The sequence below is a fragment of the Homo sapiens genome, chromosome 6, assembly GCF_000001405.40.
Source record: "Homo sapiens chromosome 6, GRCh38.p14 Primary Assembly".
Classification (NCBI taxonomy): Eukaryota; Metazoa; Chordata; class Mammalia; order Primates; family Hominidae; genus Homo; species Homo sapiens.
The window spans coordinates 125,222,619-125,250,058 of record NC_000006.12 but is presented as its reverse complement, the minus strand read 5'-3'; the positions used below and the strand labels follow the sequence as shown (position 1 = coordinate 125,250,058).

At 38.0% G+C, this 27,440-nt stretch overlaps 1 protein-coding gene across 12 annotated transcripts in view, besides 1 other annotated feature; it reads right to left on the bottom strand.

The window, feature by feature from the left end:
* The window catches only part of TPD52L1 (TPD52 like 1), a 110,635-nt gene that overhangs the window by 14,349 nt on the left and 68,846 nt on the right, over positions 1 to 27,440 (bottom strand). For all 12 annotated transcript variants that reach the window (NM_001318903.2, NM_003287.4, NM_001003396.3 and 9 more), the window contains exons 3-4: positions 20,793 to 20,941; positions 1,676 to 1,777 (exon numbers count right to left, since the gene is read on the bottom strand). In NM_001318903.2, the coding sequence (NP_001305832.1) occupies positions 1,676 to 1,777; positions 20,793 to 20,941 (251 nt within the window). The remainder of the gene's footprint in view (positions 1 to 1,675; positions 1,778 to 20,792; positions 20,942 to 27,440) is intronic.
* Positions 9,169 to 9,369: a silencer, noted in NCBI's record as "peak6105 fragment used in MPRA reporter construct". NCBI's record gives its function as "represses an SCP1 promoter by STARR-seq MPRAs in K562 erythroleukemia cells {active_cell/tissue: K562}" and the evidence as "EXISTENCE:reporter gene assay evidence [ECO:0000049][PMID:32103011]".

Genomic DNA, 27,440 nt, shown 5'->3' with positions numbered 1-27,440 from the left:
TAGTTTAGATAAATGTTATAACGCCGTTAAAATTATTACAAATTTTATTTGTAATAAAATTAGGGGTAATTAATAATCCAGAAGGTTTACCTGTTTATCACACCTGCTTCTGAAGAATTTCAATTACTTTTTATTATTGTGGCATTAGTAAAAATGAAGATAAAACAATGTACTCAGATTCATGCACATGTCCTTGTGAATGCCTAGTTGTTAAAATAGTGAATGAATATTGTGGACAGTCCAGCAATTTTTGAAGTAAATAAAATTTAATAATATAATTTATAAAGATGTATCTATAAGTGTAAAGTTAGGAAGATATTTGCCTCTCAGTGTCAAAGCTTTTCCTTCTTTTTTTTTTTTTTTTTTTGAGACAGAGTCTCACTCTATTGCCTAGGCTGGAGTGCAGTGGCGTGATCTGGGCTCACTGCAACCTCTGCCTCCTGGGTTCAAGTGATTCTCCTGCCTCAGCCTCCTCAGCAGCTGGGACTACAGGCACACACAACCATGCCTGGCTAATTTTTGTGTATATATATATATTTTTTAATGGAGACAGGGTCTCACCATGTTGGTCAGGCTGGTCTCTAACTCCTGACCTCAAGGGATCCACCTGCCTCAGTCTCCCAAAATGACGGGATTACAGGCATGAGCCACTGTGCCCAGCCCAAAGCTTTTTCTTTTTAATAAAAAAGTAACAGTTTAAGAATCCAGTAAAATAAATACGCAGAGATTTTTTTTTTTTAAAGAAGAAATGTAAAATGTGCTCGAAAAGTTTTTAAAGAATAGAGGGAAAAATGAAACTGATTTCTAAAGAAAAATCCTCCAAGGCATATCAGCCAAATGCAAAATAAAACTATGACTGGTATTTAAATAAGCAAAAACTAAGAGTAATACCTCTATATAATATGGTATATAATATATTGTATATAATATTGTATATAATATGAAAAACTATGGGCAATACTACATTTTTTTTTTCCTGGTGCCTCCAGTGAGAACTTTTGGTTCTCAAGTCAAAATCAACCTTGATGGTCACCCTTATTTTATGTAACAGTGAAATATTGAAAATAATGAAAATGTGCAAGGTTACTTATCTAAAAGCATTGCTATAGCTACGCACTGGGAGATAAATTCATTAAAAATGAAGGTGCAATAAATATTTAACATACTCACAAAATAGTTAGAAAATGAAGAAAGAAAACTACCAGAAGTGTATATGTGTGGTACCTTTATGGAATAAAAGGATAAATATGTACCTATTTAACACAGAAAAAATATACTAGATGGATGTATACAAATATGCAATCTAGAATAGTTTATGGGAGTGCATTCCACTAAATGCATGTTTTAATTTATCATTTATATTACAGCTAGTAAGAATTTGCACATGCTGCATTCTTTTCAAATCTGCCTCACTACCCTGTATCTTCTATTTTTACCAGGTCGGGTCCTAGTAGAAACAGCAACTCTGGGACCAGGCCACCTAAGCCTGACCTTCAGGCAGAAAATGTCCCAGTGTGAAAATTTATCTTAGTCATCAATCATATCAGCCATATAACATTTTTATCCATTAAAATAAAAAAATACATATGTTGAGATGAGCAGCTAATAGCTAGTGCTCCCTTCAATCGGAAAGCCAAGGGCTTAGCGCCGTTCCCATGGTATTTTCCCACAGTACCTCATGTCTCCGAACTTCTTGCTGATGGCCGTTCCAACGTTGCTGAAAGCTGCAGTTGCCTTTTGCCCTGCGTGACTCAGGGTTTCATGTGTTTTCTTGTAGCTAGAAATAAAACAGAACAACATGGTTTTTATATCATGATCTCCCATAAACAATTCATCTTCCTTCTCACTCCTTACTTTGAAAATGTCCTTTCCTCAACAGATTTAGGAAGAAGATCCACAAAACCACTGTTTCCATTCATTGTCTGGGGATGATGGGTTGGCTGCTGTTCATCAGAAGGAAAGTCAGACCATTAAATCTGAATTTAGGAAGTATATACAGATACAAATACAAATACAGATCTGAATGTGCAGCTCTTTCATGACAAATAATGGAACTGCTCAGTGAGCAGAATGTTGTTCTTGAAGTGTATTAGTTCTAAAACAGACACTTGTCAATGACAGCTCTAGGCATCAAGGATGACACAGAAATTAGAGAATGCAGGTTTAGGTTTTGAAGGTACATCTAAGCTTACACTGTTAATTTGGGTAAAATAAGCCAGAAAAAGGCAAAACACAGCTAGTTATTTAGCTTACTTTTCTAGTATTTATAGCTGGGAATAATAAAAGCACATTATCTGAAGATAATATAGTGACTTTTTTTCAAAACAGTTTTAGGAATATATACTGTGAATATTTGTTGATAAGCCTATGTCATACTAGACTTGACTACTTGAGGGCAAGGAAGCCATTCATCTTTGTGTCCCTGGTCTCTGACAAAGGGATAAAGAAGAAACTCAATAAATAGTAGATGAACGAGTGGGTGATATCAAAAGGGACAACCTTTTGTGACTCTGAACTGGGAGTAGTGGCACTAGGAAAAGAAAGAGGTATGATGGATTACAGGGATAGAATGGACAGATTCAACAGGAGATGGTAAGTGATAAATAAGAGCAAGACCAAAGGTTGTCCTGAGGCTGTGAGCATCATGACAGGAAGGACAGTGATGCTACCTATAGGGATGAGAAATTTCTGAGTTGGTTATGAAAGTGGGAAATAAAAGGTACATAACTTGAGGAATAATAGTAAATCAACAAAATTTTTATACACATTAAAAAAAACCCTCAAATCTTAAAATGCATATGCTGTCTTCTTCTGATTTATGCTGCTCCCAGGTAAGTTCTCCCAAAACCCTGTTATACTTGCATGCATATGGTATCTGTAAGAAAACATTATACCCTATGAAATCAGCTATGTAGGAACTGCCCTTTTTCCTCTACCCCTTCCATCTCCCACAAGTCATCCAGTCCTAAGTATGATCTCAGGCTCTAGTGAATATTTTCAAATATGTGCCTTGGTCTTCCCTAGGACAGAAATAACTTTATTAATGTGGTATTCTTTTTGTGAGCAGAATGGAATCTGTCTATAATATTGTTAGCATTATATGTTATTTATTAACACAATGTTTTTTTAGGAAGTATAAAAACATACATTAACTAGATCATAAAACCAAATGTTCATTTACTGAACAGACATTTCCTATCAAAAATGAAAAGACCAAGCAGAATAAGGGTCAAGGAAGAATCTGGTGACTAGGGGGTAATTTGTGTCTCTGGAGAGGACTGTGTGAGGAGAACAAGGAATGTGGATGCCAGATGGCACTGGGTCAAACAGCAAATGAGACAAGATGAAAGAAATGAACAGCTTTTAGGAAGTTTGCTTAATTTCTTTTTTTCTCTGAAGGTCCAAAAAATGTCAGCTCATTCAAATTAAATTTTATTTTTACATTTTGCTACATGATTTTAGCTTTTAATTTTGGAAAAACATTTTTTGACTACATGAAACCATGGAATTTCAGGCAGTTTATACATGAAATCAAATATTATTATCAAGGAGACAGGCAGAAGATGGCAGATAGGAGACAGGGCTAATGTGCATCTTGCACTTGCTCAGACAGAATAGTGTGTGGAGACTCACATCATGAACTTTTGTTCCAAGAACCACCATAGGAACTTACCAGGAACACCGAAAGAATTCACAGATCCTTTGAAAGGAGTGGCACACCACTGCAAATTCTGAGAGACGGGTGAAAAACTGAGTTCCTAGAGTGCGAGAGGAGAGAAAACCTGCCTCTGAACCCACTGCCTCTGAACCACCTGCCTCTGAATTCCACTAGGGAATCTGAAAATCCAGATCACAGGAGAGGGATTTAACCTAAATTAGAGCTGGAATGGATTCAGGGATCTGGGTGAAATACAATAGTAGCAGCAATGGGAAAAGCCTTATAGGCACTCCCAGTTTCTCTAGCTTGAGCCCAGGGAAGGTATATAACTGTATCTCACAGAGCGCCTCCAGGAAGGCAGCCAGTGGAATTAGGGAGGGGTCATGGGGTGAAAGAAGCTTCCAACTGAATTTTATAATAATTGCCACTGGGCGTGAACTTTCTTAAGCAGAATCTGGGGGGTGAGTGGAAACTGCTGCAGATATGAGGGCAGGAGCTACCAACACTGTGGGCAGACAGGTAGGGGCGAGGCCTGAAAGCTGTGCTTGCTTTCTCAGCAGGGAAGCCTATGGCCTGGGGCAGGTCTGAGTTCATTGTGCACAGGCTGCCTGGATGGAAACTCGGCTCTATTAGCAGAGCACTGCAGGAGTGAGACTGGCCTCGCCAACTGCGTGGGAGCTGGGTGGGGCCTTTTGCTACCAGGTATCCCCCACTTCCTTGATAAACTATATGACACAGCAGAGGCAGCCATAATCCCCTTTGGAAGGTAACCTCACTGGCCTGAGAACCACACCCCCCAACCCCCACAGTGGCTGCAGCAAGCCCTACCCAAGGAGAGTCTGACCCGCCCAAGGAGAGTCTATCCCTGCCCCCACTTGATGGTATTTCTCTACCTGCCGTGGTAGCAGAACACAGAAGACATAAACTCTTGAGAGCTTTATGGACCCACCTATTGCCTGAGAAACCAGAATACCTCCCTTGGACAATTTAGTGCAAGCTTAAATCCCACTGTTACTACTGCAGCTGGTGCCTTCTTGAAAACACCACCTCCTGGCTGGAGGCAGACCAACTCAGGCCATTACTGCAACTCATGACAGAATAACCCTGATCCCAGGAAGAAGAAAAGAACAGCTAATACTGCTGCCTGTAACATCCTGGCTAACCAGAGGTCCTGAGTCTGTCCACATGACGACTTCACTGCTAGCATAACCAGCATCTGAGAAAGCCGGCACGTTAAACCCAAGGATTCTCATAGAGTCTACTTCACTCCCCTGCCACCTCCACCAGAGCAAGTACTGGTATCCACAGCTGGGAGACCTGAAGACTGGTCATATCACAGGACTTTTTGCAGACATTTGCCAGCACCAGCCTGGAGCCTGGTAGTCCTGCTGGGTGGTTAGACTAAGAAGAGAAATAACAATCACTGCAGTCCAGCTCTCAGGATGTCCCATTTCTAAGGGAAGGGGGCGAGCACTACATCAAAGGATCACCCTATGGTACAAAAGAATGTGAACAGCAGGCCTTGAGTTCCAAATCTTTCCAGTGGTGGGAAGTTTCTCATAGCAGAGACACAATTGCAGTGCTGGGCACAGTAGGGAAAGTCTGTACCTCTACCCCAAACGGCAGGCATCCCCTGTGATTGTGTAGGACCTTAAAGAAGGGGTCCTTGTTTCCCCTGGCACTCTACTGCAGACACAGTTGGGCTTCCCCCAGAAGAATGGAGGCACCTATAGACAGCCTTTCTGGAACAATCCAGGGTGAGTGCAGCCCCACAGGAGGAACACACTCCAGATTCAAGCCTGCATGAGAGGCAAAGTCACAATTCTTCCCTACTTGGAACATCAACATTTCCATAGATGAAAAGAGGTGCCTGTCTTATCCGAATAGCCAGAACACTGGGACAGGAATAAGGCTGTGAGGTGAGTAGCTTTCCTGCTGACCTGGCAGGAGAGCTGAGGTAGCTCCCACTCCTCACCTTGATGAAACCTCAGCACATCTAATTGAGAGGTCCTCCAGCCAACTTCATCAAGGCTGGGACCTCAGCCCACCATTGGGTATTACATCTACCCACCTGCCTTAGCCACAACCAGTGCCTAACCAGGGATACCTCTCCTAATGGCCTAAAGTCAACTCAGTAAATAAAACAGTGGGAAAAAAGTTAAATAAATAAATAAAGGGTACACCATGAGAGAACAAGATAAGCTTCAAGAGATACCTGCCATTCCAACTCCATAAGAGGCAGTGAACTCACCCACTCACCAAGAATGTAACAACTACAAACAGCATAAGGGAAAGCCAGCACACAAAAAAACTTTCTGTAACTAAGGATCTCATACTGAGTCTTCAACCCTACAAGCACCAAGAATTAAATTAGGCTAAAATAAACATTAAAGTCTAATCCTTAAGAGGGAATAAATAAATTTAAGTTAAAAAAAATTTTAAGCAAAAATAAATTCAAGAACAATTTTAAGAAATAGTCTACCCAAATGAGAAGAAACCAGAAAAGTAATTCTAGTAATAAAACAAACCAGGGTTCTATAACACCCATGAAAGGTCACACTAACTCCCTAGGAATGGATCCAAACCAAGACGAAATCTCTGAATTGCCAGATAAAGAATTCAGAATTGTGCTACTCAAGGAGATACAAGAGAAAGGTAAGTTGGCTGAAAACTAACTTAAAGAAACTTAAAACAAATATAGGACATCAATAAAAAATTTTCCAGAGAAATATATATCATAAGGAAAAAACAATCATAACTTCTGGAAATGAAAGACTTGCTTAGGAAAATAAAAAATGCAGTGGAAAGTTTCAACAATAGACTAGAACAAGTAGAAAAAAACTTCAGAGGTCAAAGACAAGGCTTTCAAATTAACACAATCCAACAAAGACAAAGAAAAAAAATGAACAAAGCCTCCTCCAAGAAATTTGGGATTATGTTAAATGGCCAAACCTAAGAATAATTGCTGTTTCTGAGGAAGAAGAAAAATTTTAGTTTGGAAAACTTATTTGAGGAAATAATTGGGGAAAACTTCCCTGGCCTTGCCAGAGATCTAGACAATGAAATACAAGAAGCTCAAAGAACTCCTGTGAAATTATTCACAAAAAGATCATCACATAGGCACACAGTCATCAGGTTATCTAAAATCAAGACAAAGAAAAGAATCTTAAGAGCAATGAGGAAAAAGCATCAGGTAACCTATTAAGGAAAACCTATCAGATTAACAGCTGGTTTATCAGCAGAAATCTTACAAGCCAGAAGGGATTAGGGTCCCATCATTAGCCTCCTTAAACAAAATAATTGGCAGACAATTAGCCAAGAATTTTGTATCCAGCAAAACTAAGCTTCATAAATGAAAGAGAGAGAAAGTCTTTTGCAGACAAACAAATGCTGAGAGAAATTGCCACTACCAAGCCAGCCTGACAAGAAATGCTCAAGGGAGTTCTAAATCTTGAAACAAAACCTTGAAATACACCAAAATAGAACTTCATCAAAGCGTAAATCTCACAGGACCTATAAAACAAGAACAAAATGAAACAAAACAAAACAGTATTTAGGCAACAACTAGCATAATGAATAGAACAGTACCTCACATCTCAATACTAACTTTGAACGTAAATGGCCTAAATGCTCCACTTAAAAGACGCATGATGGCAAAATGGATTAAAAACCACCAACCAAGTATCTGCTGTCTTCAAGAGACTCACGTAACACAAAAGGAATCACATCAACTTAAGGTAAAGAGGTGGAAAAAGATATTCCACACAAATGGAAACTAAAAGTGAGCAGGAGTAGCTATTCTTATATCAAGCAAAACAGACTTTAAAGCAACAACACTAAAAAAGACCAAGAGGGACATTATGTAATGATGAAAGGATTAGTCCAATAAGAAAATATCACAATCCTAAATACATATGCACCGAATACTGGAGCTCCAAAATTCATAAAACAATTACTACCAGGCCTGAGAAATGAGATAGATGGCAATGCAATAATAGTGGGGGACTTTAATACTACAATGACAGCACTAGACATGTCATCAAGATGGAAAATCAACAATGAAACAATGGACTTAAACTCTACACTAGAACTAATGGACTTAACATATATTTACAGAACATTCTACCAAACAATTGCAGTATACACTCTTTTCATCAGCACATGAAACATTCTCTAAGATAGACCATATGATAGGCCACAAAACAAGTCTCAATAAATTTAAGAAAACCAAATTCATATCAAGTATCCTGACTCCAAAAGGAAGCCTCAAAACTATACAAATATATAGATATTAAACAATCTGCTCTTGAATAATCTTTGGTCAACAATGAAATCAAGATGGAAATTAAAAAATTCTTTGAACTGAATGATAATAGTGAGACAACTTATCAAAACCTCTGGGATACAACAAAAGCAGTGCTAAGAGGAAATTTCATAGCATTAAATGACTACATCAAAAAGTCTGAAAGACCCCAAATAGACAACCTAATGTCACATCTCAAGGAACTAGAGAAACAGAAGCAAACCAAACCCAAACCCAGCAGAAGAAAAAAAAAAATAACAAAGATCAGAGTAGAACTAAATGAAACTGACAAAAAAAAGATATAAAAGTTAAATGAAACAAAAAGCTGATTCTTCAAAAAGATAAACAAAATTGATAGACCATTAGCAAGATTAACCAAGAAAACAAGAGAGAGAATCCAAAGAAGCTCAATTAGAAATGAAATGGGAGATATCACAACTGATACCACAGAAATACAAACATTCAAGGCTACTACAAATACCTTCATGCACACAAACTAGAAAATCTAGAGGAGATGGATAAGTTCCTGGAAATATATCAATACAACCCTCCTAGATGAAATCAGGAAGAAATAGAAACTCTGAACAGACCAATAATATGTAGCGAGATTGAAACAGTAATAAAAAAATTGACAATAAAAAAAAGTCCAGGGCCATATACATTCACAGCTAATTCTATCAGACATTTAAAGAAGAATTGGTACCAATCCTACCAGAACTATTCCAAAAGACAGAGAAAGAGGAAATCCTCCCAGATCATTCTATGAAGCTGGTATCACCAAATGTAATGCCAAAACCAGGAAAGGACATAACAAGAAAAGAAAACATATCCCTGATGAACATAGACACAAAAATCCTCAACAAAATACTAGCTAACTGAATCCAACAGCATATCAAAAATATAATCCACCATGATCAAGTGGATTTCATACCAGGGACTCAGGGATGCTTTAACATATGCAAGTCAATAAATGTGATACATTACATAAACAGAATTAAAAACAAAAATCATATGATCATCTCAATAGACACAGAAAAGTTATTTGACAAAATATGGCATCCCTTTATGATTAAAGATCTCTGCATAATCAGCATAGAAGGGACATATTTCAAGATAATAAAATCCATCTATGACAAACCCACAGCCAGCTTCATACTAAATGGGAGAAAAGTTGAAAGCATTCCCTCAAGAACTGGAAGAAGATAAGGATGCCCACTTTCACCACTTCTATTCAATATAGTACAGGAAGTCTTAGCCAGAGCAATCAGACAAGAAAAAGAAATAAAAGCCATCTAAATTAGAAAAGAGGAAGTCAAACTGTTGCTGTTCACTGATGATATGACTGCATACCTAGAAAACCCTAAAAACTCATCCAAAAAGCTACTAGATCTGATGAATGAATTCAGTAAAGTTTCAGGATACAAAATCAATGTACACAAATCAGTAGCACTGCTGTACACCAACAGTGACCAAACTGAGAATCAAATAAAGAACTCAATCCCTTTTACGATAGCTGCAAAAAATAAAAAATAAAATACTTAGGAATATACTTAACCAAGTAGGTGAAAGATACCTGCAAGGAAAATGACAAAACACTGCTGAAAGAAACCAAAGATAACACAAACAAATGAAAACTCATGCTCATGAATGGGTAGAATCAGTATTGTAAAAATGACCATACTGCCAATAGCAATCTACAGATTCAATGCAATTCCCATCAAAATATCATTATCACTCTTCACTGAACTAGAAAAAACAATTCTAAAATTCACATGGAACCCCCAAAAAAGCCCACATAGCCAAAACAATACTAAGCAAAAAGAACAAATCTGGAGGTATCACATTACCAGACTTCAAACTATACTACAAGGCTGTAGTTACCAAAATAGCATGGTACTGGTATAAAAATAGGCACGTAGAACAATGGAAGAGAACAGAGAATCCAGAAATGAAGCCAATACTTACATAAACTGATCTTTGGCAAAGCAAACAAAAACATAAAGTGGGGAAAGGACACCCTATTCAACAAATGGCACTGGGATAATTGGAAAGTCACATGTAGAAGAACGAAACTGGATCCTCATCTCTCACTTTACACAAAAATCAACTCAAGATGAATGTGAGACTTAAATCTAAGACCTGAAACTATAAAAATTCTAGAGGATAACATCAGAAAAACTCTTCTAGACCTTGGCTTAGGCAAAGAGTTCATGACCAAGAACACAAAAGCAAATGCAACATAAATAAATATATGGGACCTAATTAAACTAAAAAGCTTCTGCACAGCAGAAGAAATAATCAGCAAACAGACAAACCAGAGTGGGAGAAAATCTTTGCAAACTATGCATCTGACAAACGACTAATATCCAGAACCTACAAGAAACTCAAAACTCAAACAAATCAGCAAGAACAAAACAACCCCATCAAAAAGTGGGTAAAAAACATTGATATGGTTTGCCTGGGTCCCCACCCAAATCTCATCTTGAATTGTAGCTCCCATAAGTTCTACGTGTTGTGGGAGGGACCTGGTGGGAGATAATTGAATCATGGGGATGGTTTCCCACATACTATTTTTGTGGTAGTAAATAAGTCTCATGAGATCTGATGGTTTTATAAGGGGTTCCCCTATCGCTTGGCTCTCATTCTCTCTTTCCTGCTGCCATGTAAGATGTGCCTTCCACCTTCTGCCATAATTGTGAGGCATTCCCAGCCATGTGGAACTGTGAATCCATTAAACCTTTTTCTTTATAAATTACCCAATCTTGGGTATGTCTTTATCAGCAGCATTAACAGACTAATACAGACGTGAATAGACAATTCTCAAAAGCAGATATACAAATGGCCAACAAACGTGAAAAAATGCCTCACATCACTAATTATCAGAGAAATGCAAGTTAAAACTACAATGAAATACCACCTTACTCCTGCAAAAATGACCATAATTTAAAAATTAAAAAAAATAGACATTGGCGTTGATGTGGTGAAAAGTGAATACTTTTACACTGCTGGTGGGAATGTAAACTACAACCACTACAGAAAACAGTATGAAGAGTCCTTAAAGAACTAGAAGCATAACTACTATTCAATCCAGCAATCCCACTATTGGGATTTCCCCCAAAGGGAAAGAAGTCATTATATGAAAAAGACACTTACACATGCATATTTATAGCAGCACAATTTGCAATTGCAAAAATATGGAACCAGCTTACATGCCCATCAACTGATGACTGGATAAAGAAAATGTGATATAAAATATAACTGTGGTAGGAAGTCCAAATTTTTCTTTATTTATTTGTAAAAAGTCCTCTTGTTTTTAAGGCCAAAACTACTACATTTAAATCTTGCTTTTAAATCTTGCTTTCTGAGTCTAGTTAATATATATTCCTACATACCATGGAATACTACTCAGCCATAAAAGAGAATGAAATAATGACATTTGCAGCAATCTGGATGGAGTTGGAGACCGAAGTAACTCAGGAATGGAAAACCAAACATTGTATGTTCTCATTTCTAAGTGGGAACTAAGCCGTGAGGATGCAAAGGCATAAGAACGATATAATGGACTTTGGGGACTCGGGGGAAAGGGTTCGAGGGGGGTGAGGGATAAAAGACTACACCTTGGGTACAATGTACACTGTTTGGGTGATGGGTGCATCAAAATTTCAGAAATCACCCCCGAAAAACTTATCCATGTAACCAAAAGCCACCTGTTTCCCAAAGACTATTGAAATAAAATTTAAAAAGATAAAAAATTATTATCTAAATTGTCATTAGTGATAAGACAGTTAAAAATACTAAAAATGTTAAAGACTAGAAATAAAAACACCAATCATCATTAGAAGATTTTAGTGAGGTGTGATCTTGAAATGTCATGTGCTAAGAATTCTTCAGAAGAAGCCTGCTACTAAATAGTTTTCCAAAGCAGTGTCTTGAACACTTGGATTAACTAGACTCAGAAAGCAAGATGTAAATGTAGTGTCTTGGCCTTAAGAACAAAATGACTTACTTACAAATAAATAAAGAAAAATCTGGACTTCCTACCACAGTTATATTTTTAGGATGCTGATGAAGGTTTCAGTAAGTAGTAACTGGGTAATGAAATCAGATCTGTGAAAAGGGCATTAAAAATGGAGTTCAAGCCTGGGCGTCGTGGCTCACGCCTGCAATCTCAGCACTTTGGGAGGCTGAGGAGGGTGGATCACCTGAGGTCAGGAGTTAGAGATCAGCCTGGCAAACATGGTGAAACCCTGTCTCTACTAAAAAAGCAAAACAAAACAAAACAAAACAAAATCAGGGCTGGGTGGCACATGCCTGTGATCCCAGCAACTCGGGAGGCTGAGGCAGGAGAATTGCTTGAACCCAGGAGGCAGAGGCTGCAGTGAGCTGAAATTGCGCCATAAATTAAATAAATAAAGGAGTTGGAAGTGAGGAAAGTACAGTATTATATGCTGATGAAACATTATTACACTATGGACTGTGATTCAGAATTAGGCTCAATCCAGGACTCTACTGACATCATAATTCTGAAAAACATCAAGAAAAACTTTCCTGTGCAAAAACTTATGTGTTTTGGTAAGAAAATAGAACAATCTATTGAATGCCCAAAATAGGAGACTAGCATCATCTTTAACCTTTCTGTTTCTTTCATTCTCCAAATCAAATTCATCAGGAAAGCCCTGTTGGTTCATTTCAACTTTCAGAATAGATGTGGAGTCTACTTTCTCACTGCTTCCACTACTCTCCACCTTAGTTCAAGCCGCCATCATCACTCACCGGGGCTCTTGCAATCACCTAACTAAACTCCATACTTCCACCTTATCCTTCTACAGTCCCTTTTCAACACCGCAGCCAGAGGGACCCATTAAAGCATTAAATTGGAGCAGGTCTCTGCTCAAAACCTTGCACTATCTCCTCATAATACTCACGGTGAAAAGCCAAAGTCCACCTGGTGGGCCTTCTGATGGCCCTACACAGTCTGGTCCCCTCTCATTTCTTCTTACTCTGCTCCAGACCTTCCAGCCTCCTCACTGTCCCTGGAACATACCAGGCCCCCTCCTACCTTAGGGTCTCTGCTCTAGCTGTTCTGCTTTGTGATGCTATCAAATATGGCACGAAAAGGGTTGTGCTGTATTTTAAATGTCCCATTTTGAAGAATTAAAAAGACTTAAGCCTGCACCCTTGAGAAGACTGTAAAAGCAACCTCTTTCTGTCTAGTCAAGGCCAGAGGTCCCTGGGGCCTTGGCCACTTGGGGTGCCTGCAGAATGGACTGAGCCCTAGGGAGAAGGGAGTGATAAGGGTAAAAAGGAAACCAGGGAAGGGTGGAGGAAAGGAAGAAAGTCTATTGAGCAACCACCTGCCACTGACTCTGTGTGGCCTGAAACGTGACTCAAGGGAAAAGTAAATAAATATTCTGCAATATCTGTGGCTTTTGCATGAAGTTGGGACTGGCTACTAGTTAGAGAATTCATTCTTGTGTTGGTTCCACATTTCTTCAAGAATTCTTACAATTAGACCCAATATTTAATTTTCTTTTAAGCTTTTCCATGTAGTTTAACTTTATATATTTGAGAATGTTTTGAACTAAGATATGATTTTTTAAACACTTGTTTGTGTGTGTGTGACATTCTGAATTTAATGCATAATTTAAATATAGCTAGCTAGAGAGAAGTATATATTGAAAATAGGTGATAGCTACATTGTGTTTTAAACACATTTCTATAGCAAAATGGGAGGTGAGCATATGCAGTGATCTGATTACTTTAGTGTGGTATTAATATTATTTATGTCCCCACCATGAAAAATGCAAGTCTATTTCTATATGAAATTTTATGGTTAAAATTCAGCTATACAGGTAGTTTAATGCAGTGTTAAAGATTTTAGGACTCCTTATTTCCAAGAATTATTTAATGTTAAATCTGAAGGGCACTGGAGCTAAATCCCTTCAGATTACAGATGATGAAACTGAGGCCCAAAAGAGTTATGTGAATCTTAGTGACACAGGTAAGTCTAGGGCCTAGTCCAGGGTGCCTGCTTTCCATTAAAATGTCTTGCTGCCTTGAAGATGATAGACATTTAAAGGTGAGTTGGGTCAGCTTTCTACAGTACCAGTGTTCAGAGAGAGAAATAATACTGTATTTCAAGAATGCTAAAATGCACATTTTCCCCCCACATTTTTACACCTCTTCCTTAGGCTAAACATCATATTCCTTTTATATATATATAGACTTGGGATCCCACTATGTTATCCAAGCTGGCCTCGAATTCCTAGACTCTGGCAATCCTTCTGCCTTAGCCTCCCCAGCAGCTGGGATTATAGGCAAGCGCCACTGAGCCCAGCTAACCATCATATTTCTTGAAAACAGTTAGTTGCTATTTTATATACATTACTTGGAAATCAACAATTGAAAGAGATTTCAAAAGGGTAAACAGTGAGAAAGGGTTATATGTCGGGAAATGATTTTCAAGAACAAAGTAATCAGAGACCCCATGAGAAATAGGCCATTGGGCTCCAAGTACTTAAAAGCACCAAGGAGCAGCACTCACACCATAGCCTAGGCCAAGCTTGTCCAACCTGCGGCCTATGGGTCACATGTGGCCCAGGACAGCTTTGAAAGCAGCCCAACACAAACTCATAAACTTCCTTAAATCATTATGAGTTTTTATTTTTATTTTTTGCAACTTTTTTTTCTTTTTAGCTGATCAGCTATCCTTAGCGTATTTTATGTGTGGCCCAAGACAATTCTCCTTCCAGTGTGGCCCAGGGAAGCCCAGATATTGGACATGCCTGGTCTAAGCAAATGGTACCTCAGGAGTTACGTATTGCACAGGCCCTGTAACCTTATGCTGCATCCTGATTGAACTTGATCTTAAAGTTGCATGAGTAAGATAGGTCCCCATCCAGAAGCTAGGAGCCTGAGTCTTGGGGAAAAAAACCCCTCCTATCAGCCAAAAGAAGTTGGTGTTTTATTATTATTATTATTATTATTATTATTATTGTTATTTGTAGACAGGGTATCACTTGGTCACCCAGGCTGGAGTGCAGTGGAGTGAACATGGCTCATTGCAGCCTCCATCTCCTGGGCTCTAGCAATCCTCCCACCTCAGCCCCCTAAATGGCTGGGACTACAGGTGCACGCCACCATATTTGGCTGATTTTTTGCACTTTTTGTAAAGATGCAGTTTCACCACGCTGCTCAGGCTGATCTTGAACTCGTGAGCTCAAGTGATTCTTTCACCTCGGCCTCCTGAAGGGCTAGGATTATAGGTGTGAGCCATGGCACTCAATGATGTATTGCATTTTACTCCCTTTATTATGCCATAGAATCTGGCACATCTTTAATACTTAAGATTGTTTTTCAACCCTATCATATAAAACTATGTGCAATAATATTCAAATAATGAAAAACAACTTAAATACTAATACCTTGATTGACTTGACAATCTTGTAACTTAAATAGAAATAGTATTTAGCATTTCAGATTGCTAGGTCTCTTACTTTAAGCTAAATATAGGTTCACCATTGCTGACTTACATAATTGATAGAGCAGAGGAACAATATGTTTTCCTTAAGTAAAAGCAGGAATGTGTAAGATATCTTTGAGTTGCCGTCAGTTGTGCATTAGGTGGCAGAAACGTTGAAAGTATATGCTTCAAGTCTGTGTTCTGTGCCTGTCCTCACTTCAGCTACAGGAGCGGAATCAGGAGTTTCCAATGTGAAGCTTCTAACTCAAGAGAACAACTGAAGCTTTCAGGTGAGTGAAGAGAAATTTGCCCTTGTGTGTTCTAAAGCCATTCTAGCAGAAAACACTGCTTTAGGGACCTGCACTTCCCAACAAGGCTCAAATCTGGTCTAGGGCTGAACATTAGCTGCCATTACTTTCATAGTTAAACATTTGCCTTTCTTTGGCAGCAATGGCAATAGCAGCTAATGTTTTTTAAAGCAATGGCAGCTAATGTTTATAGAGCACCTGATATGCATTAAGTCCTTTAAGACTGTTTACTGAGAGATGTTTGGTGTTGAGTACATGTAAACTTCCTGTTTTTCAATGAAAGTCAACAGGAAAGTGGGCTCTACTTTTCAGAAACTCAATTTGGCTGGAATGGATAGCATTTATTGGCAAGGACAGGTTAGCTGTTTGACCAGCACGCCAACAGGGGATCTTCAGTAGTGTGAGGTAAGGGTCTCTGCAAGCCAAATAAAAAGCATTCTGTTGACTTTTCATGCAAAGTCCACTTGACATGTTTTACTAATTTGAACATTGGTGTTAATAATCAAAAGGAGAAAGCATGTTGTTTTCTAAATTGTTTTGACTTAAATAAAGCATTTTTCTACATACAACTAGAAGAAATAAAAAATTCATCTTTTTAGAAGAAGATATTTTACAGCACGAATATATTTCCTCTTATGAGATTTAAAAGAAAGTGTTCCTTTAATGGTTGAATATGCAGCATTTCACCAAAGATACAAAAAAACATTTAAGATTATTTTATTCCAAAGGCTCCCTAAATATGTTATCAGAACATAAATTTACCACTTGAATCTAGAAGAAAAGAATCTACTTCCTGCCTTGTGTAATAAGATGAAAGCCTGAAGGTAAAAAGAATGAACAACCATGTGAGAGATTGGGTGTGTACATCTTTTAAAATTAGGTCTTTAATCTTCACTGGCACTCCTGAACTCAATAGTGCTACAACCAGGCTCCCTCATAAAAAGAGATAATAAGAATTCCTGACCATTAATGGCCTGGAAGTCTTAGAAGAACAAAATCAAAGAGTAAATAAATCATAAACTAACGTTCAATTTTTGAGCACTGTGCGTTTTTAAAATGCTGAATGTGAGGCTTTTCGTCCTCTTTATGTAGGATAAAATTATTAAGCTTTCAAAAAGATGGAATAGTTTAAATTCCTTTCCAAAACCTCTGCCCTCTGTCGACTTACCATTTAGATTGTGGCACGATTCAGAGGGGTTTATTAGTGGGGGGATTTCATGTTTCATGGGTTAGCAAAGCAGAATACTTGTTGAATACATGAAGCCCACTGCTTTGAATAGCCCACCATAAAGTTGTATTTCCTGATTCTACTTCTGCCTACAGAAGAGATTCAATTTCTCCTCCTTTACCCCAAAGTCACCCACCTCTCCCATGTCTCCTTGAAGTCTAAAGACAACATAAAAAGGCAGCAGAAAACCAAAAAATGGAGAGGACTTTTTTGTATGTTCTTAGATACAAATCTAGGCAAGTAAAAAACTATGACAAGAACAACAGCAACAAGAAACCCTGGATACCGATGATCCCTTGACCTTTTCCTGTATTCCTGGAATCTTTCTGTAAAGGAGGTAATTTCAGTCTGCTGTGTAATTATTCCTACTTATCAAGGCCTATTTCAATTTGAATCCTACTGCAGACTGAAATATGCCAAGATCTTTCATTAACATACCATAGATTTTCTTTTCATTATAAATCAAACTAAATAGGTCATGATTGCTTAATCAGTATGCAAAGTATTGCCTCTGGGAATCACACACATCCTCTGACAGCTAAAAATTTTTTTTAGTGCTTTGAAATCTAATTCTACCTAACCTAACCTGATCATAGCTCATCATTTCTTCACATCAAATTTTTCATCAGATGAGGTGCAGATTTTGTCCTGGAATGGGTATCATAAACAGCACTAAGAGCAGGGGTTTAATTAATTCAGAGGGATACAGATTTTATCGCTCCTCCAAACATATGATTAAGATCCGCTGCCTTCCCTCAACAACCAAGAAGAAAGGGTTGGGGACAGACCCTTTCCCCAAATTATATGGTTGATAGACTTATGCCTCCTCCTAAAGAGAGGGACTGGTTCTTCCCTACAAAGGAAAGTTCACTTCATTCCTAAAGGTTAGTGAGTTCATGACCATTTGTATTTATTAAGTAATCCCCAGGGAAATCTCATCTAGTCATCTAGTTTTCGATGTTATCTATATGCAGTTGAATCCCAAATGTCCATCTCTGCCTTAAACTTTTACACTGAGTTGTCCTCTCAGCCTATAAATCTGTTTATCTATTGGGCATTTCAGACTTTACGGAGCCAAAACGAATTATTGTGCCTCTCCTCCAGACTTGTTTCTCAGTCTTTCTCACAGCAGCAAATAATCATTTCATGCCTACAAAGTGTCAGATGCTGTCCTGCAGCCTTTACGAACATTAACTTACTGAATCTTCACTACCTATGGGATCGGCATTAAGATGATCTCACTTCATGAATGCAGCAAGGCCTAGATTTCAACCCAAGCAACCATGAGCCTAACCACAATGCTCGTAAACAGTTCCAACACTCACTCAGTAGCCCAAGTCAAAGGCCTAGACATCACACTTGGTCCTATTTCCTTCATCATCCACCTGCAAACCACTGTTGATCTGTTCTCCAAATCCTTTCTATCCCCCTTGTCCATGATTTTGTCGTATAAACAAACAAACAAACAACAACAACAACAACAACAACAAAAACTCAAACTCTGTCTTCCTAACTAGACTCTAAACTCCATAACCCCAGGGAATAAATCTAGGCTATTCATCCAGCAAAATGCTTTACATTAAGTAGACTACCTGGCTATAAAACCTATTAGTTTTTCAAACATGGAAAAACACAAATTAGACATTATCCCCTGTGGGAAGAGGCTAGAAGCCTTCCTTGAACTTGCCAGCTCTATTTCCAGTCCCAGGAGGAATATGAGTCTCTCCCCTCCCTTCCCCTGGCAGACCTTGCACAAACTTGACACTCCCTCTGCTCAGACATTCCCACCTCCCTGCCAGGCACCTCTCTCCTTCAGCAACAAAACTGCCAGCATTGCCCCACCTTCCATTTGGTTAGTTTACCTATGCAATGTGATTAGGAAGGCCATGCAGGAAGGTCTTCCTGGTACTTATACCCCACAGGGAAGTTCAGACCAGTGTTATACGAAACCCTCAGGCCTGGATTAAATACAGAGGTGACCAAACCCAGAGAATTAGAGCTTGTTCAACTTTACACTGTCAGGGCCATTAATTGGTATTGGCCACGAAAGTGGAAAGACAGAGGCCAAAACTACTGACAGATAAGCTCATTTAATTTAATGCCTAAAATCCAGTTATCCTTTCAGGAGATTGTTCATATGGTGTTGCAACTTATCTTTTAAATTGCTGCACATCAATGTGTGGTTTCTTATTTTTTCCCGTAATTGTCATCATTAGGTTGGGGAATGTTGGTTAACTTCTGGAGATAAACTGACAAGCTCCCTGGCTACATTCTGCCTGACTCTGGGCTGTGCCCTGAACCTATCTGATTGAGTCCTTAGGGTGCACAAGCATAGAGCCCAATAGGACTGCTAGGCCATATTTAGAGGGAGAAAAACATTCTCATTCTTATGGAAACTAAGGAAGTTGGGGAGATGTCATGCTCGTTTTAGACCCAATTCCTCATACAAAGGACATCTTCTCATAGGAGCAAAAAGGCTTACATCTTAGTTCTTAGGAACCAGCAGGCAAATTTGGCTGCTGGCAAAACTGAAATAATTGCTGTCAATTATTGGTACCTCTTCCTACCATCAGGCCTTTCTATGCCTAGGAGAAAGAAAAATTGACTCCCACTTAGGTATTAGGAATGCAATATCTTTACCTTCCAAAGTGTGATAGTAGAGAAGAAAATGCATAACCCAAAGACAATTTCTTAATGGTGAAATTTGGGACTAAAGTTACGGCTAGGGATAAAGCCTCTGTGATTTCCTCATCAGCCCCTAACCCCCAATACACAAAAAGAAGAAAAATCACATCACATATGTGGAGTACTCCCCTTTGGTACAAGACCCCCAGCAGGTAAAATACTTTGCAACATTAGAAAAGTACCATCATCATTAAATATTTCATGCAACTTAAGAATAATCTAATAAAAAAAGTGTGATTGTAGAATAACTGAGATTATTCTGTACCTTACCTAGCACAAGACAGGACGATAATGGCAAAGCAAAAACCATTTCTTCCTTTCTTTTTTTTGAGACAGAGTCTCCCTCTGTCGCCAGGCTGGAGTGGAGTGGCGCCATCTCGACTCATTGCAACCTCTGCCTCCTGGGTTCAAGCAATTCCCCTGCCTCAGCCTCCCGAGTAGCTGGGATTACAGGGGCATGCCATCACACCCAGCTGATTTTTTGTATTTTTTAGTAGGGACGAGGTTTCACCATGTTAGCCAGGATGGTCTTGATCTCCTGACCTTGTGATCCACCCGCCTCAGCTTCCCAAAGTGCTGGGATTACAGGGCCAAAACTGTAATCTAAACCAAGCTCTAAAACTGGTCTAAACCCAGCTCTAAATATTCCCTAGAATAGTGAGAATGAAAAGTGCAAAACAAAAGATGAAAAGTACAAGGTTTTCTTTGTAAATCAATTGCCAGCAAGTCAGTATTGAAACTGCCAACCACTTTTGGAAGACATACATAGTGAGTGTCAAGTGTGCTGAGGAGAAAACACCTTCCCATTTATAGTTTTTATGAGAAAAAGTTTTAAAAAAAGTATATTTGACAAATGTTAAAAATATAAAGAGAAAAACATTTAAACAATAAAACCTAATGAAAGTAGTCTGAGTGAAAATAGAGTTTCAGTGAACAGAGTTTTATTTCATGAAGCTACTTTATAGAATCTGCTTCACATGCAGCATACTTAATGATTATTCACATTTCTTTGCTTTGCTTTTAGAGAAAGTATTTTTTTTTCCTAGCTTCATGCACCAAATCAGCCTTGTAGGAAAAATGAAACAAAACACAACAGAGTGAGGAGACATCAGGCTGAGTTAATAAAACACTGTTCATATGATACTTACGCAGTGGTAGTCTGCATGTCATGCCAGCTTTTGCTGAAGTTCTGTTTTAATTCATTCATCAGGTTCATGCCGAGTTTTTGTTTTATCTCAACTAGATGCCTTTCTTTCGCTGACAAAACTTGTCGTAGTGTTGTAATTTCGTCTTCTAGCTACAAGGCGGAGGGGAAATGGTGGGGGAAAATGTCAGACCAGCAAAAAAGGATACTTACAGAAGCTCTGGGTATTCCAAAGCAGCCTCTGACCCTCCTATTTATACAATCCCATGTGTAGGTTTGCCAAATACACCCCATACAGATGATAGTCTAATATCTCAAAGTAGAAACAGAATTTTTCATTTTAATGATTATAGAAGTAATTTATGCTGCTTGTTAAAAAAAAAAGTGAGATTGTACAGAAAAACATAAACAAGAAAATAAAAATCACCTGTATCCTGCTAGGAAATAGCCACTGCTTATTTTTTGGTTTCTAAACTTCCAAATGTTCTTTCTATAAGTTGTATATAGACATAATTTTTGAACAAAAATTGGTTTTCTACTGTACCCTTATTTTATATAACTTCTTCTCAAGTGCCACTTTATTTATTTATTTTAAAGAGACAGGGTCTCACTATGTTGACCAGGCTGGTCTCAAACTCTTGGCCTCAAGGGATTCTCCTGTCTTGGCCTCCCAAAGTGTTGGGATTACAGACGTGAGCCACCACGCCTGGTCTCAGTGTAGTTTATTTTTTGCCAACCACACACAGTTGCATAGGTGCAGGAATGGAATTGGCAGACAATGGGGTTTTGCCAAGCTAATGCCTTAAGAAAGGAAGGAACAAGGGATTAGAGGATGTATGTAAAAGAGTGATTTGTGTTGATTTTTCTTTTTAACAGTTTCATTGACCTGTAACTGTCATACAATAAGCTGCAGACATTTAAAGTGTATATGTATAATTTGTAAGTTTTAACATATGTATCTACCCGTGAAGCCATTATCACAATCAAGGAAGTGAACATATTCATCACCTTTTACTTGCTTCTTCTTCTTCCTCCCTCCCTCTTCTTTCCTTTCCCCCAATCCACTCTCACCAGACAGCCACTGACTGACTTTCTTTCCCTAGGGTTTAGTTTGCAGATATTTACTAGAATTTTATACAAATTGAATCATAGAGTATACACTCATTTTTGCTTGGCTTTGCAGATAGTTATTTTATATTCATCTATGTTGCTGCATTATCAATGGTTCTTCCCCTTTTTTTGCAGAGTAGTATTCTATTGAATGAATATGCCAAAGTGTGTTGTTTATTTGCCTGTTGAAGGGCATTTAGGTTAGGCTAATGCAAATAAAGCTGCTATGAACATTCATGTACAAGGCTTCGTATGGACATATTTCCTCTTTCCCCTGTGCTACAGAAAAGCAGATCTCTTCAGCACTATAAAATTGCTCTTGCAAATGCAATTTCTAACAAAAGAGCTCTGTAAAGTACTCAGATTTTGGAAAGTGCTGTTCTATCCTGTGAAAATAAATCTGAATAAATCACAAAGTCTTTGATTTTAATTAGTTGTCATACTCTATAACATATTGCTCTGGTATCAGTGCTTACATTTACATCTTTGTTTTCTGAAATATGGAAAACAAATTTTGTGACTTTTCCTTGTTAAGCCGGAAAAGAATCATTAGAACTACCTTAGTATCCCACATGCATGGAGGTAATAAAACTCTGTCACTTTAGTGGATTTCTTACTAAATTTTTTTTAAAAAGGAGCAACTGTGGCTCATTTACTGTAAAGTGTCACTCTACTTCGGACCACAAGCTGCATCACACCAACCCTGTCAGGCTGTCAGTCATCTTGCAAATGCGTTCCTTGGATCACCAGAGTCACAGCTCCTGGGAAAGCAGCTCAAGAAGGGCATCTGCCTTTGCAAAAGCAAAACATGCAATAAAACCCCCCAGTCTTTCACTAGCGCCAATAGTGAACAGACAGAAATGGTTTTGCGAACCTTTATATACACAAATAATCACGTAAGCAAAACAAGCAGAAATACTGAATCACAAGCATCTTAAATACCACAGTAAGAAGTAGCAATATCTTGGGGTTTTTAATATCAGCAAAATGTCCTGGCAATTTAACATTATCCATTTCTTTATGTTCACAGAACATTTTTTATATGTACATGGACATCTTTCTAAAATCTAAAGTGAATTACATATTCTACAAACATAGTATAATCAATAGAACCCTGTCTTTCCTTGATGAGCAAGAGTCTTCAGTGTGCATACATACACTGATTACTGTAAAAGGAGTATGTTTAGGGACCAGTAAAGAGAATAATGCTTTTAGTCTCTCCATTAAATGAGAATACACTGTTATTTTAAAATTAAGCCCTTCTATTCTTTTGTTATCATGTCATATTTCTCTTTTTCATCTTTGTCAATGTGTCCTCCTCCATTTAATCTGCTGCCCAATATTTCTCATGGTTGTATCTCTTGCTCTTTTACCACAGAAAATGCTTGGGGTTCATGTCAGCCTTTTATTCTCTATTAAAAAGGCCATTTCTGCTTTCTTTCATTTAGAGTGACTGAAATTACTGGGAGTCTGGGTTTTTTCTCGGCGGGGGTGGGGGTATATTGAGTGTTACAGTATTTTCCACTGTGTAAAAAAATAAGGGGAAAATTTTAACTTGCTGAAATAAATTACAGATGTACACAAGGAGAAAGAGGCTTGAACACCTTAATATTCTCAACCTCATAGCCATGGAGCCCCATAAGTGTATTAAAAACCACGAGGGGCTGTGGATTATTCATTTGTTATCTGGAGGTGGGGAGTGAGGAAAGGATTCAGAGCTGCCATTAAATTTTTAATAAAATCTTCATCCCCCAAAAGCGATAGAAACATTAAAGTGACCAATTTAACAAAAATCATTCTTAAAAAAAAGAAATATAAAGTCCCACACTTAATAATTCAAAAATTCAGGCACACTTTCAAAGACACATATGGGGAAGAGACCTCTAATAATGAAGACATGAAGTCAGCTATTTAAGTTGGGTGTATTCTCAGATTCTATAATAAAATTCTAACCATTTCAATGCAATATAAAGACTCACACTTTTCAAAACGTTCAGAATATTTATCAGAGATCTAAATATATGCCAAAAACTAATCGCAAAAGTTGGAAAGACAGACAATCTTTAATTACATTAACGTGTAAGGTTCCAAAAGGCCAACAACCTCTCTTTGTACAGAACCAAGAGTCCTGCCACAATGAGGTCTTTACTTACAAATACCTTAAAGGCTGCTGCTGATGAACTTCAATCCTTTATTTGACTGCGATCGTTTGGTCTAGTTATCTCAGTGGTTCTCAACTTCAGTTTAAATAAGAAAGCATATTTAAAATGCAGATTCCCAGGCATCTGCTGCCTTTTAATGCCCTGAGAGTTCAAGGCCTTAGATTTGGTGGAGCCAGACTGCTTGTGTTATCAGCAAGCATCCTCAGAGATTCTGATACAAGGAGTATGGAAACTCTAAACTGTAAGTACTTCTGTAAGCCACATCCAATTTGGAATGAGATGAAGTGCAAGTAAATCATGTTAATGAATTAAAGTATTTAATATATCTTTTCCTTTTAATTTTAATTATTTCTGCATTGCAAATTAATGGTCTAGTTCTTTGGTTTCTTGACTCCCTAGAAGATCTCCTTGTAGGATGAATATTTATGCCCAATATTAGATATTTAAACTTGATTATTTAAATATGAATTAACAGGAAAATAACAAGTGTTGACAAAGATGTGGAGGCGTTGGAACCTTTGTACATTACTGGCAGGAATGTAAAATAGTTCCGCCACTGTGGAAAACAGTCGTACAGTTTCTCAGAAAGTTAAACACAGAATTAATTTCCCCAGGACTCAGCAATTCCACTGTTAGGTATATACCCCAAAGAATTGAGAACTGGTACTCAAACAAATACATGGACACACATGTTCATAGCAGCACTATTCACAGTAGACCAAAGGTGACTACAGCCCAAATGTCCATCAAGAGATGAATGGATAAACAAATTGTAGTAGATAAATAAAATGGAATATTATTCAGCCATAAAAACAATGAAGTACTAAAACATGCTACAACATGGATGAACCTCAAAAACATCAGGCTAAGTGAAAGAAGCCAGACACAAAAGGTCCCATATTGTATGATTCCATTTATATGAAATATCAAGAATAGGTAAGCCCATAGAGATAGAATGAAGACTGGCGGCTGCCAGAGGCTGGGAAGTGGGAAATGGAAGCAACTGCTTAATGAGTACAAGTTTCCTTTCAGATGTGGTGGTTACACAACACAACACTGTGAGTGCACTAAATGCCACTGAATTGGTCACTTTAAAATGGATAAGTTTATGTTATATAAATTTATCTAAAGAAAAATGCAAAAAAGTGAACTAACTAGTCTGAATTAGCTAATGAATTAGCTTCAGTATGAAATTTATAAAATTTGTTTTTCAGTTTTATCTGCTAGATTACATAAAATTTCTAACTGCAACCCAGAAGGAAAACTATTTTCATAAACTAGGCATCATCAGTATGTTATTTAGGAGTAACCACATTTGGTCTCACGTGCACGTGGCTTCAAGGCCTGCCTCTCTGGGCTACTCTTGCCTTTGGCTAAGAGACCCAAGATTAAAATGCAGATACTGACTAAGAGGTGCAAAACAATAAGATATTATGGTTATGAAGACATTAGCTGTTCACTAGCTCAGTCCAGAAAGAGTTAAGGTCTTCAGGAAGGAGCTGAGAGAGAGAGAGAGAGAGAGAGAGAGGCCCAGAGCCTAAGGCACTTCTTTGCAAGTGTAAGACACCGTTAGCTTGAGAGCACTGTGTGTTCTTGGGGACTGCACAGACCAGAGGAAGAGGAAAGAGCCAAAGGAGAGATTGAGAGAGCATGAAAATAGGCTTTACTTACTTGATAATGCTGTCTGGTATTTTTCCTATTCCTATTAATGCCTATTTCTCTTAAGTCATCTTATCTCAGGGACATTGGCAGTACTTGATTGTTATATAATCACAAATTTACAGTACTAATGCCAAAACTTTATCCTTTTCAAAAGGCAAGACACATTATGAAATACTAAACATAAAATGCAGCTTAGTGAAATTAAAGTGGGAGTGGGATGATAGTGGCACAGAATTATTGGGCAAGTGTACTTAAAGAGAGAGAGAGAGAAAAAAAAAACAGGTGTGTAAAGACTTCAGAAAAGGTGTCTGGTAATAAGACCAATGAGAATAAATATCTGAAACAAAAGATTAATTCTTTATTTACTGACAAGGTTTGTAAAAAAAAGAGCATATTCTACTTTTGGAATTTACAAATATAAATATTTGCTTAAAATATAAAATAACTCAAGCTAATTATAAATATTAATTACATTCCTTCTATGCATGAACCACTGCACCAGATCAGAGGTGATATTGGCCTCACACTTGATGAACTTTAAAAAAGATACATATTGCATGACCACAACAATAAATTAAAGATCAAGTTATGTTAAAAGAGATTCCTTTTTTTTTTTTTTTTTTTTTTTGAGATGGAATCTCACTCTGTTGCCTAGGCTGGAGTGCAGTGGCATGATCTTGGCTCACTGCAACCTCCACCTCCTGGGTTCAAGCAATTCTTGTGCCTCAGCCTCCCAAGTAGCTGGGATTATAGGCGCATGCCACCATGCCTGACTAATTTTTGTATTTTTAATAGAGACAGGGTTTCACCATGTTGGACAGGCTGGTCTCGAACTCCTGACCTCTGGTGATCCCCCCACCTCGGCCTCCCAAAGTGCTGGGATTACAGGCGTGAGCCACCACAGCTGGCCAAGAGATTCCTCTTTTAAAATGCTGAATTTGTCCAAGATGTAAGCCTTTTGGACACTACTGGCTTAGTTTACGTTTCCTACCAAAAGAAGTCTTCCTCTTGCCAGCACTTGGTAAGCACACAAAAATATGTTGGCTGTGTGAGAGAATGGGGTTATGAGATTGGTTGAAGTCTAAGGGCAACCTCATGGGAATATTATCAACAAGATAATGCAGGATAAGACAGAGGGGAGGGAAGAGAAAGAGAGCTGGGAGGAAGGAATCCAGCATAGCCAGAAAGCAGTAGGAGGTGTCAACCTGAAATAATAAAATGGATCAGAATCCAGTTTAAGAGTTAATTCAAGTGAAAAGCTAAGGATAGACATCTGGGAAACACAGACTCTAAAGGAATGTGGTTAGTGCTATGAAGCTGAAAAGTTAAGGTCTTATTTACACAGGCAGAAAACAAAGAAATTTAATAGGATTACAGCATTTTTCATATATTGCTGGTTTATGAGTTACAGCAATTTGATTAGTTACAGTTTGTTTTCTTTTTCTTTTCCAGTTTAAAAGTATATGTTTAACATTCCATCTTAGACAATCTAAGGCGTTTGTGTAAGAGAATAAAGAGGGAAGTTAATCTATAATAAAAGAGGTCTTCTCTGGTGCCCTTTAGTCTTTTATAGCATTTTACAAAACAATGTAGGTAATGAAAAGGCTAGTCTATAATCAGAGAAACAGGTTACAGCTGCCTAGGTCACAGCTGCCTGTTATGTGACTCAGGTCCCATATTCACATTCCTTCAAGGCTCAAAATAATTTAAAGTCCCAA